The sequence below is a fragment of the Homo sapiens genome, chromosome 11, assembly GCF_000001405.40.
Source record: "Homo sapiens chromosome 11, GRCh38.p14 Primary Assembly".
NCBI classification, from domain to species: Eukaryota; Metazoa; Chordata; class Mammalia; order Primates; family Hominidae; genus Homo; species Homo sapiens.
In genome coordinates, this window is record NC_000011.10 from 30,761,974 (window position 1) to 30,782,671 (window position 20,698).

The 20,698-nt window shown below is 38.0% G+C and overlaps 1 long non-coding RNA gene across 4 annotated transcripts in view; it reads left to right on the forward strand.

Annotated features, from left to right (window-relative positions):
* The window catches only part of LOC101928338 (uncharacterized), a 74,787-nt gene that overhangs the window by 31,688 nt on the left and 22,401 nt on the right, over positions 1-20,698 (forward strand). For 2 of the 4 annotated variants that reach the window (XR_007062640.1, XR_242862.5), the window contains exon 3: positions 12,152-12,214. This is a non-coding gene — a long non-coding RNA (uncharacterized LOC101928338). Of the gene's footprint in view, positions 1-11,499; positions 12,053-12,151; positions 12,215-20,698 lie in introns of those variants that run through there. The other 2 variants (XR_001748480.2, XR_001748484.2) reach the window with 2 other exon arrangements.

Sequence of the window (20,698 nt, forward strand, 5' to 3'; positions counted from 1 at the left end):
TTTGTCAGTCTTGGGAAATTTTTACGATTATCCTTTCAAAATTTTTTTTATTTTTCTCTGAGCTTTTCACTATGTCCCATATGTCTCTATGATCTTTCCTATTTTCTATCATTTTAGCTCTCTGTGCTTTGGCCTGGATATTTTCTACCAATTTATCTTCCAATTTAGTAATCAACTTTTCTGCTATGTCTGATTTGCTGGTAAACCCATCTATTGAGTCTTAATTTCAAGTTTCAGCTATTATGGCTTAATTCCATAACTTCTATTTTGTTTTCAAAATAAAGGCCAGGTATCTAGTGAAATTCTCCATATTAACACCTGTTTTCTTGAATGTATTAAGTCCAACTACATTAAAGTCTATCCCTAATAACACTAAGAAATGTGTCATCTGCAGGTCTGTTTCTGTTGTCATTTTTTTCTCTTGGTTCTGTTTTTTGACATACCGGGATATATTTTTTACTAATAGCCATATATTGCTAAAATAAGTATTAGAGGCACTTAATAATGCCATATTATCCTACACAGAGTTGATATTATCCTTCGGTAAGCAAATAGAATGGTAGCAGGCTCCTTTAAGCCACATGGGCACTGAGCTAATTCCAGGATGGATTCCAGTTTTCCAAAATTATGTATCTAGTTTGTCCATGCTCCTAGATTGTCATCCTCAGGGTTTTCCAACCAATATTCTGACGTATCTAGTAGGGCCCCCTCCCTAAAGTGGGTCCCAAGTACTCGAGTGTCACTTTTTTTTTGTCTTCCCAGAACCAAGAGAAAGTAGAAACACGTGCTTTATTATATGATTCTTATTCTCCTTTTCTGTAGAACCAGCAAATGTCTTAAGGGAAAACAGGCAGAGATCTGGGCTTACTTCTTTCTTCTAATCAGAATCTTGCCTCCACCTCCCCCACCCCATCACCAAATTCTGGCTATTGTGGCAGTTCCAAACTCTAATTTTTGGCTCTGTAGCCCTGTGAGATTGCCAAATTTTCCACTGACTTCTCTGCCTTTTAACAGAAGCTGTATGTCCTGGCCCTCTGAGTGAATTCTTGGCTTCCCATTCAAAAATCAACAAATGCCCTGAAGAAAAAAAGTGGTTATAAAATCTCTCTGTGATTTCCTTCTCACTGGCATCTTAGCATTTCAAGATTATTTACATCAGCAGTTTCTTGATGGGCTCCTCTTCTTATTTAAACAAAATTAATCTGATTTTTATGGTCATTCTCAGAAAGTGTATTAGTCTGTTACTGTGGTGGTAACACATGGTTGTAAATCCTTTTTGATCCCTTTTGAGAGGTGAGATCTTTGACCCCTATCCTTAAGTTTGGGCAGACTTAGAACTACTTCAACTAATGGATTACAGCAGAATTCATAAATGGCCATTCAACATCTGCTTTATGCTGCTGGAACACTTGCTCTTAAAGCCATAAAACATCATCTTAAAAGTCTACTTGGAGACTGCCATACTGAATTGACCACAGAGGTGGTCTTGTGAACAGTCCAATCTGAGCCTGTTCTTTAGAGATCCCTTCCAAGTTCCATATATACAAGAGAAGAAGCATCATGGAAGTCAGTCCTTCAGCCTCAGCTCTTCTTGCTCTTCAGCTGTTTGAGCAATCCTAGCTGAGGCTCAAGGAGACGTCAAGGAGTAGAGAAGAGCCATTTCCACTGTGTTTTTTCTGAATTCCTGATCCACAGAGTTTATGGGCATTATAAAATGGTTGCTTTTTTATGTCACTAAGTTTTGGGGTGATTTGTGATACAACAGATACATGAAGTATCCCTAGGTATTCCAACAGAGCCAGACACAGAAGTCACATAAAATTTACTTGATTTTTTTTTCATTATAAGAGAAACTATGAACCAAACTTGAACAAAAGAATGGAACAAGAATAGGATTGTAAATAGATGCAGAAAATCTTTTATAGTCATATCTGGTTTAACCTGAGAAATTAGAAAAAAAATGGATTTTTTTTTCTTTTTGCATGCCATCCTCTTTGATGTACTAATTTTCCCACTGCTTCCATATCAGATTAGCCCTTCATCAAGACTTATACTCTTTGTGAATTACACAGGTCTTTAACTTCCCCTCCCTTCATTTCACTATACGGTCTAGTGAAAATATACCACCTTTGCTCCCATCGCTTCAGAACTGTATTCTCTGCTTGCCAGCTGTTAAACCAACCATGAATTAGAGGAATCTATGAATCACGGAATCTTCAGTAGAAATAAATACGATCTAGTCTAACTGCCAACCCTACGCAGATATTCCCATCCCTGAGAGGTTGTTACCTAGCTCATGCCAAGCAATATATTTCTTTTAGCAAATTTAAATTAGGGAATTTCAAGAAAATGAAAGCCAATCAGCAAAGGATGTCACAAGAGTGATTCAGTAATATCTACCATGAAAAAGGTGTTGGAAAATAAAGTCGAATAAAACACAGTCATTGGCCTCAGGAGCATAACAATTTTTCAGGAAATAAACATACCACTAACTATTCTATAATGTTATGTGAGATTAAAATGCACCAAGAACAATGCATTGAAAAGGAGGAAATTATTCTAGTTAAGTATATGGGGATATTCTGGGAAAGTCCCACAGACAAAATGACATCTCAGCTGTGCTTTTTCCTCGGTTGATGTAGTTTCCAGGTTCTTCTGCATTCTGATTGCCACCATTCATCTGGACACTATCTAGTTTTTCAGTCTCTTTGGAAACACAATTTCCCTAATATTACTTAAATAGTCTACAGGTCAAGGGACAGTCACACCCCTTGAGCTGAATGTGACACCTCTATTTATGAAACCTAAGATTTCATCCTCATTTTTATCAGCAAGGTCATATTATTGGATCCATATACTGCTTAACGTGTACTAAAATCTCTAGAATTTTTTCCACATGAGTTATTTTGAAATCAGGTTTTTATGCTGTTCATATTTTGAATCTGCATTCTCAAGACTTTATATTAATTCTTCATTTGAATCCAGTGTTTCAGCCTCTAGAGAATTTTGTTGTGGGGGAGGAGACAGGATGGGAAGGTCTGATCTCAGATTCTAACAAATGAGCTAGCTTTTCTAGGTCTGTGTCAGCTGCAAATTTAATGAGCAAACCTTGTGCATCTTTCTCCAAGGTGGTGATTAAAAATGTTGACCAAGACACAATCATGTAATCCGGGCTTGGACAATCATATATTAATGCATTTCTCCTATTAAGTGACTTATTTGCATTTTAACAGTGGCCTTCTGGAGAACAGATACTTTTACCCAAATAAATGATGAAGATGATAGGAATATTAGGCATCATAGAAGTCCACTTTGGGAGATTATTATTAGACGTGGGGTCCCTTCTATGCTTCTCAAATCAGACTATCTGGGATGCCTTCTATTTATTCCATTTTGAGGCCTCTCCTTCATTCTTAAACTTTCCTGCACACTGGAATCACCTGGAGAGGTTTTAAATATACAGATACCTGGGCCCCACTCCCAGAGTGGTGCTGCCTACATTTTGGGTGTTTGTGAAGCTACCCAGGTGATTCTACTGTTCAGTCAACGTAGAAAGCCACTGCTTTTGCAGAAAGTCATCAACTGCAGAAGAAAGAGTATAAGGTTAGAGGTCAAAGTGGGATAGACCCCAGCTCTTCGTGTAACAGTTTTGTGATTTGGACAAATTGCTTAATCTCTGAATTCTACTTTCTTATCTGAAAATTAGGGCTAATAATGATCTACAATGTGTTTAAAAGAGATCATGTACATTACCTCTGTTCATAGTAGGCAAATAGTGACTGTCATCCCTTCCCTCTGTTTTTCCTAAAGTCCCCTAAGTTGGTCTATAGAACAAGGTCAGCAATAGCTGAAGAGCAGATTTGACACACGAGCTCTCATCTCTGGTGTTCCTTCCAGGATCAGATAACTTCACCTTTGATGACCTATGGCTGAACTTTTCTGTCTCATAGAATGATTTAACATCATTTAAATGCACAAATGTAGCTTAGCTGGGAAATAAAACATATATTCGACTTTAAATTGCCAAATAGAAAAGAAATGTTTCATTTTCAAACTGTGGCTACGGAAGAACATGCAACTGCTCAAGTTTCATCAATAAGCCTTTCAAATGTTTCCCTGTATTCTCAGTTTCTCATGTAAGACAACTTTTCATTAATATAGGACTTTTTTGAGGTGGAACTCAGCAAGAAAAATAAATACTAGATAATTTTTTTAGCTATTCTTTTTGGAAAATCCTAACCAAAATACTAGCTAGGTAAAATAAAAGTTTTTAACATCCGAACTATTAAATGATTGTTTAAAAGAACTTCTTAATTGGAATGAGGTACAGTACATGTAATACAAATTCATGTGTTGTTTTCCAAATGTGAAAATATATACCTAGAAGTCAGAGTAAAGCATTGAAATATCACTAAAATTTTAATGTCATGCAAGACTATTGTTCCATTTTCATTCTGCTTCCAGCCCAAAGATACAACAGTAATTTTTAAAATAATGTGAACAAACAAGCTTGAGTTTATCTCATCTCATCTCCTTTCCAGTCTTCTCTCCATGCTTCTCATCTCACTTATTGTAAAACATTTATTGAGATGCTAGTGTTCATTAGGCATTACGAATATCACGACAAATGAGGTAAGTGATCCCAGACTTTGAGGAACTCACAATCTAGTGTAAAAAATAATTAAAACCCAACATAGTTAATGACAACTGAATAAGGTGTGTAGTCTAGTTAGCAGTATTGTACCAACGCGAGTTTTCCAGTTTTGATTTTGTATCATAGTCATGTAAGATGTCACATTGGAGGAAGCTGAGAGAAGGGTACACGATACTATTTATGTAACTTTTGGTGTAATTGTAATTGTTTAAAAATAATAAAGTTTTGGCCAGGTGCAGTAGCTCACGCCTGTAATCCCAGCACTTTGGGAGGCCGAGGCGGGCAGATCACGAGGTCAGGAGATCAAGACCATCCTGGCTAACATGGTGAAACCCCATCTCTACTAAAAATACAAAAAATTAGCCGGGCGTGGTGGCGGGCACCTGTAGCCCCAGCTACTTGGGAGGCTGAGGCAGGAGAATGGTGTGAACCTGGGAGGCGGAACTTGGAGAGAGCCGAGATCGTGCCACTGCACTCCAGCCTGGACGACAGAGCAAGACTCTGTCTCAAAAAATGATGATAATAATAATAATAATAATAATAATAAAGTTTCAAAGAATCTAATATAGTAGATTTTTAAATAATGTCCTACTAATGTAGGACAGATGTTTCAAGGAAACTGAATAAGGAGACATTATCCTGTATGAGGGAATAAGGGAAGGCTTTGCAGAGGAAATGGCATAAAATCCGGCTCTGAAGAGGTAATTCAAAATGTCCGTGGTGTTTTAGTTGCCCGTGGCTTCTGTAACAAGTTTCTACAATCTTGGTGGCTTAAAATAATATGAATTTATTCAGTTACAGTTCTGGAGGCCAGAGGTTCAAACACTAGTTTTACTGGGCTTGAGTCAAGGCATCAGTAGGGCTGGTTCCTTCTGGATATTCTAGGGGAGAAACAGTTTCCTTGCCTTTTCCAGCTTCTGGAGGCTTCCACATTCCTCAGCTTGTGACCCCTTCTTCCAATCACTCCAGCCTCTTGTTTCCATTATCACATTTCCTACCTCCTCTTTTGTAGTCAAATCTCCCTCTGCTTCCTTGTTATAAAGACTCCTGTGATTACATTTAGGGCCCACCTGGATTACCTAGGACGTTTTCTCCTTCTTAAGATCCTTAACTTGGCGGGGCACGGTGGCTCACACCTGTAATCCCAGCACTTTGGGAGGCCAAGGCAGGCGGTTCACCTGGGGTCGGGAGTTGGAGACCAACCTGACCAACATGGAGAAACCCCATCTCTACTAAAAATACAAAGTTAGCCAGGCATGGTAGTGCATACTTGTAATCCCAGCTACTTGGGAGGCTGAGGCAGGAGAATCACTTAAACCCGGGAGGCAGGAGGCAGAGGTTGTGGTGAGCCAAGATTGTGCCATTGCACTCCAGACTGGGCAACAAGAGCAAAACTCTGTCTCAAAAAAAAAAAAAAGAAAAGAAAAAGAAAAAACCCTTAACTTATTCACAACTGCAAAGTCCCTTTTGCCATCTAGGTTAACACTCACAGGTTCCGATAATTAGGACCTGGATATCTTGGAGGGTACCTATTTAGCCTAACATATCTGCCATGGTAGTATTCCCTGAGGTTTCCAATTGTGAAAAACAACTTGTACAATTGAGGGATGGTGAATCATTGGTCATATTTGGGGTATTGGGAAGGGAAGTAATGGGCTATACAGTTAGCAAGAACAATATATCACAGACTGGGTGGATTAAACGGCAGAGGTTTATTTCTCACAGTTCTGGAGTCTACAAGTCCAAGATCAAGCTGTTAGCGGGCTTATTTCTCCACAAGCCTCACTCCTGGGCTTGCATATTTCTGTCTTCTCTCCATGTCCTCGCATGGCCCTTTCTTGGTATATGCACGTCCCTGGCGTCTTTGCCTTCTTATATGGACACGAGTCATATCAGATAAGGGCCCACCCATATGACTTCAGTCAACCCTATCTCAACAGTCACATGCTGAGATTCCTGGGCTTAGAACTTCCAACATACATATTTGAAGGGGACACAATTCAGTCCCTAATAATTGGGATTAAGTTTTGAGTAACTTTGTGACCTGGCTAATGACCTTGATCTTGAAAGTTATAGTAAGCCAAAGGAGGCTTTTAAGGACTGGAGTGACAAAAATCAGATCGTTTGTTAGTTTTTTATATCAGTAACTGAAAATGGAAACAAGGAAGTAGTAACTTGCAGCAGGGAGAACAGGTAGAAGCCCGGTACAGTACCCAAGCAGGACATATAAAAGGAAAGGTGAGGCAAAGCGTGGTGGCTCACGCCTGTAATCCCAGCACTTTGAAAGGCCAAGGCGGGCAGATCTCTTGAGGTCAGGAGTTCAAGACCAGCCTGGCCAACATGGTGAAATTCCGTCTCTACTAAAAATACAAAAATTAGCCAGGCGTGGTGGTGGGCTCCTGTAATTCCAGCTACTGGGAGACTGAGGCACAAGAATCACTTGAACCCAGGAGCTGGAGGTTGCAGTGAGCCGAGATCATGCCACTGTACTCCAGCCTGGGCAACAGAGTGAGACTCCGTCCCCTAAAAAAAAGAAAAAAGAAAAAAAAAAAAAAAGGAAAGGTGATGTTTGCAGAATCCTAAGACAAGGGTAATAGATATAGCAGACTTTTGCCTGTTTTCTCACACCACAAACTCATGGAATCTTGAATAAAATATTATAACAAACTACTCTTTTTGCCACATAGCTGAATTTAAAACAAATGTCCAGATGCCAGAACTGAAGCAAGAAATCAGAGCCAGAATGATGAGAAGGGACTGCTGGCACCATGTGGATATCAGACCAGATATTGGACCTGTGGTCTGGGAGTATTGTAAAGTCACGTGAGAGATAGAACCACACCTATGGGCCCAAGGACCTCAAAGATCTGCCCAGCCTATAAAAAGGGGACTCGAAAAACTCTGACCTCTTATTCTGGGAAACCACAAGGAAGCCTGCTGACTATCCCGAAATGTAGATGGGGTGGGGATGGAGGGGGTGCACAGTAATCTTTAAGAAGTGAAATCACTATCTTTACTTGAAAATACCTTTTTAAAATCTAAATTTGAGTCAAGGAAATCTCAAACTGAGGGATTAACTCAAAAATTGCTCTAGGACTGTTGAAACCCCTACACCAAAAGGACTAAGAAATGCAAATAAAGAAAGAAGAAATAAGAACATTGGATGACCAAGCAACATCTGACTAACAGGAGAGTAAGAAGAGAGAATGGAGGAACACCTAGCCTCAAAGAAATAAATCAAGACATTTTCCCCAATCCAAAGAGCATGGGTTCCCAGATTGAAGGAGTCCACCATGTGCCCAGAATAATACATTTCAAACACTAGAGACCAAAATAATTTTTTACAAGTTTTCAGAAAGAAAACAACAGAACTCGTACATATAACCAGAATGGGTTTAGAGAGAGAGTATGTGTGTGTGCTTGTGTGTGGTGTATATATACACACACGTGTGTCAAAGAGAATCTTCATTTTCCAAAGTTCAAAGTCAATAAGTAATGCCTAAAACTGTGAAGTTAAGAAGTGGCAACGTATGCATATTACTTAGAAATATAGAGTAAAATACCAAAAGCGAAGCAAACAAACTCATCAGAAAGTATGGAAAGAGTTTGCACTGGGGTCTGGAATTGAGGATTAGTGTTCTTGTTCCTTACTGCTATTTCTAGACCCTAGTCCCTTCCTTCACCCTCAAAACCCCTGGCTCCTTTGAAGCAGGTGACATTAAATGACCATTTGTTCTCTCCTGTTTTGCAATCTCCTGTCCCCTGGTCACTTCTCTCAACCTCTGAAATTTTAGCACTGGCTCACTGTCTTTCCCTCCACTGTTCTCCTGCCATTATTCCTGAGAATTTCGATGCCCACACCCTGCCCGTCATTACCCTGACCTCATTGTTTCCTACACACTTTAAGTCTATACCTCCCTCCCCCACCTTCCATGGTCTGACCCTAGGACTTTCCAAAAATCTTAATGCCAAATACCTCACACTCTAAACTTCAAAATCTTAATGAATAAATATTCACTTTCATGTTCCAAATTACCTACTCTACCAAACCCACTTCAGTCTACCCACTTTTACTACCTATCGCCCTCTCTGGTCTCTCATTCCTCCTCACTCCTCATCCAGTTTAGATCCACCGTTGATGATCATAAAACTTTCTATATAACTTGTCTGTCTCCCCTCCCATCATGTTCTACTGGCAAATCCCAAAACCTATTTAATATTTATTGCTATATTTCATCAGTTAAATAGAACTATAGACAAAACAAAGCAATACAACACAAATGCATATAGACTGGTTTCATTTTAAATTTATGTTTATAATCTCAAGAAAATCTTCAGCACAGCCTGGAAATTCTGCATATTTCATTACTCAACTTGCTTGTCTGTTTTCTAAAATAATTATCTCAACTTGTCCTCTACTCTCCAAACTCCAAAATATTTTCTTTCTTTTCACTTTCAACTAATGGTGGCTCTTTTTTAGTTCACTCAAGTAAAAAACCAAAACAAAAAAACAATCAAAAGAGGCAGGTTTAGTTCAAATGCCAGTTTTGCTACTCACTACCTGAGTGAATTCTCTGAGCCAGTTACTTATTTTCTCTGGGGCTCAGTTTCCTCATCTGTACAAGGGGTAGATAATAGCAGTAGTGTCCAGTTATGAATGACACGTAGTTTCTGCTAATGTAATGTTCACTTAACGAGGGAAACCGAAAACTGTCTACTTTACACTATCAAATCTTCTGTCCTACCCAGGTATTTGAATATATCTGTGAACTCTGCCTTCCTTTCTTGTGCATACAGTTGTTTCAGGACCCCCATGAATACTAAAATCTGAGGATGCTCAAGTTCCTGACATAAAATGGAGTAGCATTTGCATAGAACCAATGCACATCCTCCATATACTCTAAGTCATCTCTAGATTATTTACTTTAAATCATCTCTGGATTATTTAAAATATAATACAATGTAAATTCTATGTAAACAATTGTTGTACCATACTGTTTTTAATTTGCATTATTTATATTTTTGTTGTTGCATTGTTATTTTTTATTGTTCTTCCCCCTGGATTTTTTTGATCTGTGGTTGGTTGAATCCACAAATGTGGAACCCACAGACAGGGAGGCCGACTATGTCCTTAGCCCCCGCCTCCCCTTCTGAAACAGTGGGTGAACTGTTCCTGAATCTCATTTCAACCCCTCTATATGAGTGTTGGATCTCCTTCCCTCTCCCCTATTCAATGACTTTGTTCCTGCAGTTGTTCCTCTTCAATCATATCCTATGGAATTTCCTCTGTCTACTAAGTTATACCATCAGCATATAAACGTTATGTATTATCTTCCATCTTAAAGGTCCTTCAGTGCTGTCATGGCTTAGTTCTTGATTCCTTTTTTAAGAAAACTCCTTGAAAGAGCTGTTTACGTTTGCTTTTATTTTCCCGACCTCTGCCCCCTTTTTTGAGTGAATTGGAATCTCACTCTGTCACCCAGGCTGGACTACAGTGGCATAATTATAGCTCACTGCAGCCTTGAACGCCCAGGCAGTCCTCACACCTCAGCCCCCCAAGTAGTTGGAACTACAGGCATGTACCATCACACCTAGCTAAGAGTTTTTATTTTTATTTTTAGAGATGAGGGTGGTCTCATGATGTTGCCCAGGCTGGTCTTGAACTCCTGGCATCAAGCAAAACTCCTGCCTCAGCCTCCTGAGTCAATGGGATTACAGATGTGAGCCACCACACCTAGCCTTTTCATCACTCTTTTGAACCCATTGCAATACCTCTTGTCAAAGTTTATCTTTCCAAATTCTCAAGTACTCTGCCCTTCTTCATTAAACATCTCAGAAGCATTATTCTTCTAGGCTTCTAGACTTCATTTGGTGTCTTAGCCAGCTTGGGCTGCCAAAACAAACACAAACAACTAGGTGCCTTACACAACAGAAATTTATTTTCTTACAGTTCTGAAGGCTGGGAAGTCCAAGATCAAGGTGGTGGCCAATGCTTTTTCTGGATTTTGGAGCAGACTGCTTTGGTTTAAATCTAGACTCCGTCATTTACAAACTTTGTGACCCTGACCAAGACAGTTAACTACCAGTGCCTTGGTGTCCTCATCTGTAAAATGGGGATCATGATAATATACTCATTTAAGTTAAATAAGTTAAAATATGCAAAAAGCTAAGAATGTTGTCTGGTACAATTTAAGTTCTTAATAAATGTTAGCTATTACTTTATGATTCATATTTGTCCATTTTCCTCTTTAGAAAAAAAAAAAAACTCCCAGAAGACAAGAACTTTCTGCCCTGCTGAAATACATGGTATCTCCAGTGCCTAGACCACTGCCTGATATTCCACATATATTTGTTAAAAGAACAAAGGTGTAAATGAGTGCTTTCTTGGAAGGATTTTAAAACGTGTGGTTTACAGTGTCAAATGCTTCAGACAGCTTGGCAGATAAGGACGTAAGCCATTTGTCAATCAAAAGGTCATTGGTGATTTGAGTAGTAGTAATAGCCATAATTTACTGAGCCACCTTGCTAAGTGTGCTAATCTACACAATGGTCCTACAAGGAAGCCATTATTATCACCATTTTATAGATGGAGAGCGTATCTGCAGCTCTATGGGACAGAAGTAAGACTGAAAAGGATTGAGAGATGAACGGGAATTAAAGATACACTATCAACTCTATTATAACTGGCAGCTTGTTTAAATATATTAACCTATAGGAGAAGAAATAAATTCAACTGGCCAGAGACATAATTTGTCAACCACTCTTATCAAAAAAACCAAGTATGAGTGAGTCAAGGGGAATGGAGTGAGAAAAATATAAAATAAATGAAGGTTCTCAGCTTTATACATATTTTTTTTTCTCCTGGGTCATTTTAAATGCTACCTTGGTAATGATCTTCATTTAATTTATTCTTCAGATCCTCTGTGCTTGAAAATACAGAGATGATATGAAAAAAAAAGTCACCATCTTTGTAAGAATCTTACTGAATAAGAAAGATCTTTTTTACAAATTAAACTGCTGAAGAGATTTCAACTGGGTTTGGAATCCAGATCAACTCAATCTCTGGCAGAATATTTTCAGGAAAAAAAAAAACCCTGGAACATTTGAGAATTACAGTTCTGTACCTCTGCAAAGATTTGTATATTCTTCCATTGGTGGGTGAGGGGGCAGGAGGAAATTCTCTGGGTAGGCTTACAAAAACAAGATTTTTAAGCGCTTCTGATGATTCTGAGCTACATTTCTGGACTGGAATTTGAGTGTTTACGTCGCTGTTTCTTGGATAATTAAAGAGGTATGTGTCTGTTTCAGAGAATCTGCTCTCTTCTACCTTGCTTTATTTGGGTGGTGTGACCTTGGCTCTTCTGTATATTCATCCTGCCTGTCACTTTTCAGAACCGAGTAAGGCAGCACCAGTAATAGTCACTTTGGACACAGAATATTTAAAAGTTTTGTGTTTTATTTTAAATTGGAGGCTCAAATATCATTGTTTATTTTCAGGGCAGCAAAGGACCATAAGCAATTCTCCAATGGTGAAGATCGACCCCAGTCATGTAAAAACACGTACGTATTCATTAATGTGTACATTTCTTTTTCTGTGTTAGTTTTCCCAAGCTATTTCCCTCCTCAGCCCAGTCTCCCTGCTTCTGTTTTTTATTAGCTTTTCATAGTTCTATTTTCTTACTCCTTAGTCTTAGCTCTTTGGCTGTGGATAAAGATGGCTGGTAGGGATTGGCAGGGGCCAATGAGTAGTTAGAAAATGTGATTTGCCAAAATAAGAATGATAATTTCATTATGCATATCTCACTTGGAGTATTGAAAATTAAAGCTTAAAAATAAAGCTAATCCCCTGTCTTTTTTTTTTTAAAGCTTCCGTATTGCTGAGGTGACCTTTTCTGTTCTGTCCTGTGCTAACATCACCATATGAATTTTAAGTTCTCCCCTGCCCCTGTGGCTATGTTAGGTTGATAGTTAAGCCAGGACTCTGTCCTGAAGCACTGTGCTGTTCTCAGCTCCAGGCAGCAAAGGGTTAACAGAGTCTCCAGTGCCTACCGAGTTGTAAAAGGAACTGCTGAAGCTGATCAATGACCACTGTTAAGACCTGGAAACCAATTATAAACCTGAAATTTGTGATGAACAAAGCCCTGAAACACTGGGATGAAAACTACTGAATTAGTCCAGTTCATTAAAATCATTAATAGTCATGAAATGAAAACCACCAGAGTCCAAAAAGGCTTAATGCTCTATCCATATTAATTAGATGGGAGCAAATCTGAACTGAAAAGCAGCACATGCTTTGTAGAATTAGCAATTGGTCTCTACAGACTACACAGATCTCTATTAAAATTCAGTTTAATTAAAATTGATCACGTTAAGAAACTGATGTGGTTAATTAACTGAATTCCTGGACTTCTTTTCATACGTTTCACAGGCGCCTTTTACACTGCGTTTGTGGGTGACACTTCATGTTGCACAGAGCAAATCCAATTGCAAAGGTTAACTCTCTGTGTTCCTGGAGAGGATACAGACCACGGAGGAGGGGTGTGTGGGGGAGAGGCAGAAGAAACCCGCTTTATGGAGAGTCAAACCCCAGGTTAAACTTGAGGAAACTCCTTTAGAAAATTTGTCCCATTCATGGTGGATAAATGAATGTGTATCTATCAGTGACAAAGAGGTTCTCTCTCCCAAGCTGCCACCTCTAGAGGAACTGAGAAGTATTGCCAAAAATAAGAGTCACTCTAACTTCAAAAGGAGGACAGTAGGCATTTGGTTAAGTGTGGCTAATTCTGTACCAGGATTGCTGAAGGCATCTTAGTTTTATTGCCTACACACCTCCTTGTTCTGTTTGGCTCAGAAGTCATTTTCTGTTTTTTCCGTCTGCAGAATGGTATACTGACATTTCTAGATTTCACCAAGGCCTAAAATAACAGCAATAGTCCCTCTGCCTTGAGGCTGCTCTGCTGCTCCTGGCCAAGTCTACCCCCCTTCCCAAGTCCACCAAGCATATTGCTGCTAACGCAGCCTTCCCAAGACTGCAGCTTATGGTGTCACCGGCCTGCTCAGGACTCTGTAATGACTGTGTGCTATATACAGGACAAATTCTAAACTCCATGGATTTAAATCCAGAGCTCTTCATCATCTACCCCAACATACTCTTACTTCCTTTGCCTCTTAGAGATGTACTTTGCCTATGAGATCTATTTCTTTGTTTCAGCCACACTGGCCAATTTACAAACTTTGAGTCCCTTATTTGCTTTACAGCCTGCACTCCTTTTTCCTCTTAGAAATTTGTTTCAATCCAGCCCATCCTTAAGAATTCCACTGGAATCCCATCACCATAAAGTAATTCTGTCATCAACCCTCACAAAAGATCTCTCCTTCCCCTGCCCTCTGGTAGTTGGTATGATCTCAACTGTCAATTGGCTCTTGTTCCCCAAAATCTGAAATAATTACTCACATGTACACATCAGCTCCTAAACATTTTAAGTTCTTATCAGGCAGAGGCCATATCTTATATTTCACTGAATCTGAACATGCGCCAGACACAATGTGTGCTCCATAAATGTTGTTTACAATGAGGGAATAACTTATCCTTTGATAGCTTCTGGCAATTTTTCTCAGCGAGGGAGGTTTGAGCTTCGTCTTATGATGAACTGGCAAAAAAATTTGAATGTGACATGCTAATAGCAATAATAATAATAGATGATATTTATTAAACTCACATGTCAAACATTGTGCTAAAGACCTATTGTTTTACAAGGAAATCACCCTTTCCCTCTGTTTGTTGTCAGAGTTGCAAGTGCCTCTCCCAGCGTTTTGTTCATCTTTTGCATCTAGGACTGTGTCTTCCATCTCGTTTCTAATTCTTGTATATTTTTGTTCCTTTTTTCTAACATAATTTGGCAATTCTTTTTGGGTTTTGTTGTTGTTGTTGCTTGTTGTTCTTGTTGTTTTTCAGGTATTTTCAAACAACCAGCTTTGAATATACACATTCTTTGTTTTTATCTTCATTGACTCAAATTTAGCTTTTAATTTGCTATTTCTTGGCAGATTTCGTTGCTTGTTGTTTTTCTTTCTTTCTTTCTTTTTTTTTTTTTTTTTTGAGACACAGTCTTGGTCCGTCACCAGGCTGGAGTGGAGTGGCACAATCTCGGCTCACTGCAACCTCCGCCTCCTGCCTCAGCCTTCTGAGTAGCTGGGACTACAGGCACCTGCCACCATGCCCAGCTAATTTTTTGTATTTTTAGTAGAGACGGGATTTGTTGGCCAGGATGGTCTCGATGTCCTGACCTCATGATCCACCCACCTCAGCCTCCCAGAGTGCTGAGATTACAGGCATGAGCCACTGCGCCCGGCCGTTGTTTTTTTTTTCTAATGCCTTAATAAGTTAAAAGTTTCTTAGTAAGTATTTAATTCCATTTTCCCCCTTTTCCCTTTGTTGGTCTTTCTTCCTTAATAATAAAGGCATTAAGAACATACATTTTATCATAAACACAATTTTTATTGTGATGCTTAGATTTTTGATGAAGTATTTTTATTTTCACTTATTTCTATAAATCATTTATAATTTCAGATTTGATTTCTTTTTTTGATCTAACGTCTTTTATAAATTATTATTAGAGACTATTTTAAAAATTACTTATTTTTAACTTCATTATATTTTGATTAGAGAGCATGCCCTATATGGTTTCTTTGGTCAAGTATGGAATTAAGTCTTATAAATATTCCACAGATATGTACACAATGTATTTTCCTATTTAAAAGTTACAGAATTATATTCTTCAATTATTTTATTTATATCCTTATTTTTTGGTCTAATTCAACTGTCCAGTTCTGAAATAGTCATATTAAAGAGTACCACTATATTGTATTTTAATTAAACTCTACTTATCTATGCATTTTTGCTTTCTGTTCAGCTGCTACGTATTTTGATACAAAAAGGTGTAAAACAATTATATCTTATTTTTCTTAGAATTTTTTAATCCAAATTCATTATCTGATTTTAATATTATCACTCTTTTTTTCTTATTGTTTGGCTTTGCCTGCTATCTCTTTGCCCATTCATTCACTCATAAATTTCTTTTCATTTTTGGGGGTCATATTTTTCTTCAAAATATATTTGTATGTAGGCTTTTTTAAAGGAAATGTATGCTACTTCTTGTTATAAAAGATTTTTTGAAAACATACACTATATCTTGTTATAAAACATATTTGAGACAATTTACAAACTATATAGACTCTCAAAAAAATAAAATAAGATAGCTGGAAAAATTAGTGCTGGTAGAAATAAAAAAGAAAGTTCTGCCGGGCACGGTGGCTCATCCATGTAATCCCAGCACTTTGGGAGGCCAAGGCGGGTGGATCATCTGAGGTCAGGAGTTCAAGACCAGCCTGGCCAACATGGTGAAACCCGTCTTTACTAAAAATACAAAAATTAGCCAGGCGTAGTGGCGGGCCCCTGTAGTCCCACCTACTCAGGAGGCTGAGGCAGGAGAATTGCTTGAACTCGGGAAGTGGAGGTTGCAGTGAGCTAAGATCGTGCCACTGCACTCCAGCCTGGGCGACAGAGCAAGACTGTGTCTCAAAAAAAAAAAAAAGAAAGTTCCAAGCCAAAATGTTTGCTCAACTCTAAAATGCAAATTTTATGACACACATTTTGTATTTATTTTTATTAATTACTATTTCCTTTTTTCAAATCTTACTGTCCTTTGTATTTCAGTCATTGCAAAACTAAAAACAAGATTAATTAATGACTGGCTGTATCCATATGCCTCTCTCTTTTGTTCTTTGTTTCTGCTGATTTGATCAAGCGAACTATTCCAATCCCTCTACTCCCACCACATCAATTAATTTAGAAAGGCAATTAACTGTATTTACCATTTCATTAGTGGTTAATTTCCCTTTCCTAAAATTCCTCATCAAACTAATATTTTTCTATTATTATATGAAAATAAAATACAACTCTTCTCTTCCCAACCTCCCTCAAGATTTATTGCCTCATTGGTTTGTCTGCTATTACTTATTCTTTCCCCCATCTCTACCACTTTGACAACTCAGGTTTTGCTAAGACAGTTAAAAACTTTTGGTTTCAATCCATCATTAGGTCTTCCCTTGAAATATGGCTCTTTCTTTTAAGAATACTTACATAGCTCACATATTATGCTCTCAGGCAATTTTTCTAGCTACATATTTTGCAAGTTTTATGGTTTCTTCTCCTCTTCCACTTCTCCTGTTAAGATCTCTGTTCTGACTCATTATTATTTTTTTTATAAAAGTCTTTTCCTCAAAAGGGGCTTATGGGAACTTGATTCCTCGAACTTTTTCTTATATACAAACATCTTTCCAACCTCCTGGTAGTTGAGTGACTTTCAGTCCTTCCCTATCAATCTTCTGCAGGTGTTATTCCATAGTCAGAATGATTGTTTTCCTTTGTAAATCATTGTCATTTCCTCTCAAATAATACTTAGAATTAAGTAAGGTATTTTACTTTCCAGACTCAAGTTTTTTTTAGCATAGAGAATTTAAATATTGCCATCTATTTATTTTTCTCCTTCTAGATCTTCTATTACTCACATTTAGTTATCTTCCAAGTCTTCTACATTGTCCTTCATGATTCCCATCTTTTTGTATTTTTTGCAAGGTTTTGAAATACATATTCCATTTGATATTCTTGGATACTAATGAATTCTGTCATTCAATTTACAAATTAAACTTCTGTTTCAAACATAGAATCTTCTAGGTATTTGTATTACTTTTTTTGTATTGTTTTAGTAATTACCTGCCTCTTTTAACAGCTTTATTTAATCAAGAACCACCTTTTCCAGATGTTCTGAGTGTTCTTTCTCTGGCTGCTAGGATCCCTTACGTGGATTATAGTTTTCCTTTGCCTACTCTGCAGGCTCAGGCTGAGTTTATGGGGTACTCACTCTTGAGGGTGGTGAGGCGCAAATATATCTCTGCCAGTGCGGCGAGTTCAGTACCAGCTGATAGGTGGTAGTAATTACCTGATTGAGGCTCTCAAGGGAAGGGGAAAAGGAAATCCCCTTGAAATATTTTTCTGGGCACCACTCTTCTTCTTGGAATGCCACAGAGTTCCAAAACCTACGTTCTCTCCAAGACTATGGTACACTGATTTTTGCTCCAAAATTCTCTACAACTCCAGGCTGTGTCCAAAGCCAAAAGAAAAAGTCTGACATCAACTTTCTGTGTCTGGATCCACAGAGCCCAAAGTCATATTCTTACCCTTCAATGCCCTGCCTGCCTGCCAGATAGACTCAGGAGAGGAAGACTGCTGTTAGGAATTGAGATTTGAGAACAGCAGGGACACATTCAGGGTGCCATATTCCCAACATTCCCCTAAATACTTTTTAAATGTTTTAAAATGTGAAATATAACACTCATACAGAAATGTGCATAAATCATAAATATCAGTGTAATAAATGATTATAAAATAAATACTTGTGTAACTAATACCAAAGTCAAGACATAGAATATTGGCAGCAACCCAGAAAATGCCTGTGTCTTCCTCATTTAACACAATACTCTCTTTGCCCTTCTAAAGGTAAATCACTATTCTGTCTTTTATAGTAATTAGTTTTCTTGCCTCTTTAAAAAGGTCTTACATTTTTGTATGCTCAAAAAATGGAGTTTAGTTTTTACTTTTGAACTTTATATATATGGCATCTTATAGTATGTACTCTTTTGTGTTTTGCTCCTTTTTGAACTTTATATATATGGTATCATACAGGATGTATTCTTTTATGTTTGCTTATAATATTTATTCATCTATCTATAGCTCATTCCTTTTTATTCACTATAGAGTATTCCATTGAATGGATATGCCACATGTCTTTGCTTATTCTCCCATCAATGAACATTTGGGTTGTTTCTAGTTTAATGCTATTTCAAAATATTGCTACTGTAAACATACACAGTGTGTGCTCTGATTCACATGTACACAAGTTTATAACATATAATTAGGAGTAGAATTGATGTGATGGCTAATAAGGCTGCATATCTTTGATGTTATTAGATAACGCCAAGCTGTTTCCAAAGAGGTTGTATCAATTTTATTTATTTATTTATTTATTTATTTTTGAGCTGGAGTCTCGCTTGGTCACCCAGGCTGGAGTGCAGTGGCACGATCTTAGCTCACTGCAACCTCCGCCTCCTGGGTTCAAGCGATTCTCCTGCCTCAGACCCCCGAGTAGCTGGGACTACAGGTGCGTGCCACCACGGCTGGCTAATTTTTGTGTTTTTAGTAGAGATGGGGTTTCACCATATTAGCCATGCTGGTCTTGAACTCCTGACCTCGTGATCCACCCACCTCAGCCTCCCAAAGTGCTGGGATTACAAGCGTGAGCCACCATGCCCAGCCTGGTTGTATCAATTTATAACAACGAGCCATTTATCACAGTTTATTAGCAGTTTATTAGTGTTCTCATTTTTTCATGTCCTTTACCAATCCGTTGAATATGTAATGTTATCTCATTTTGGTTTTAATTCACATTTCCCTGATTAGAAGTTAAGCATCATTTTTTATAAAAGAAAAAACAAACAATAAAGAGTCATTTACAAAATGAGAGTGAAAGTAACATAGCTGCACTCAATGTTTCATAAAGTGGTAATTCTCCTAACAATCTTGATTTAGGTAGTCTATTACAATCACCCCCATTTTACAGATGGGGGAGTTTTAGTTTTAATGAAGACATACAGCTAGTCAATAGCAAAGCTGAGATTTGAACCAGGCTTGAACTTCTCAGCACTGAGTCCCCTATGCTTTAAGAAGCTAACTATAACAGCCATGTGGATAACAGTGTAGAGACAGGAGTTACTAATAGTAGTGAGAGCAGGCAGGAGCCTGTAGTACAGTATTTGATGAAAATGTTCAGAGGGTGAGTGAGTCACACAGGTGTAACTTTAAAGCTTGTTAGCTAAGGCCTTAGGAGGAAAAAAGCAAAATGTCATATGAATTGAGATTAGGCTTAATTATGCCGTAAAGATTTGAGTACTCATGGAACCCAATTGAGAATTATTTTTAATTTTAAGACTCAAAGCTATTTTTTTTTAATTTTTTCCTGGTATAAAAAGGGATATATTTTATCTCTGATATAAGGGATAAAAATCACCCTTAATCTCACTACCCAGAGATAACCACTATTAATATTTTATTTTATCCTTCCAGCATTTTTGAGCCTGAAGAGATATATTATATTTAAACAAAGTTGAGATCAGCGTGTATATGCTGTTTTATAACCTATTTGTCCCAAACAAAATATTGAGAACAACTTTCCTTGTCATTAAAATTTCTTTTGCACATGACTTTTAGCAGTAGTTCATTTTAAAGTTGTATCATAATTACTTTTTAAGTATTTCAAATACTACATGATAAGAATATTTGTAGATAAATCTTTGCCACACTTCTGATTATTATTTCCTTATGTAACATTTCTAAACGTGTGTGTGACTGTGGATCATAGTTCATAAACTCAGGTTTGCAAAATATATCTCACCTGTGTAATTTCCTTAGATCAATTCAAATTTGATCCCAAATTCCCTTATCTTAAACCCTTAAGATTTTTTAAGAATCTGAGAAGCTTATATGGTGCCTGGAATGAAGAGGAAAGATGCAATCACTCTAAGCATCTATAGTCAGCATGGACAACAGCAGTGGTCAAACTCCTGTTGTCCCTCAAAGTCATGTAACTCTCAGCTTGTATACCACTTGTGGGACAGGTTGACTTTCCAAGCCTGAGAACCTCAGTGCCCATTATCCAGTCTCTCCAAGGACACCACACAACTGGTCCTCTCTGAGTTGCTGCCACCACCCTGAGTGCTCCCAAGATAAGGACATGGGTCAGTGACCGCTGCCTCCCTACCCAGTCTGGGAGAGAAAAGCCCTGTCCCTACCTTTGCATGTTCTCCAAGAGCCCTTTTCTCTCCATTTCTCTCTGGGATGATTTTAGGCTTTTATGTGAGATAGGACACATTCTTGACTCTAAGCAGCTTCAGCTTTCCAATGTGTAACAAACTTCTCTTGGGACAAAG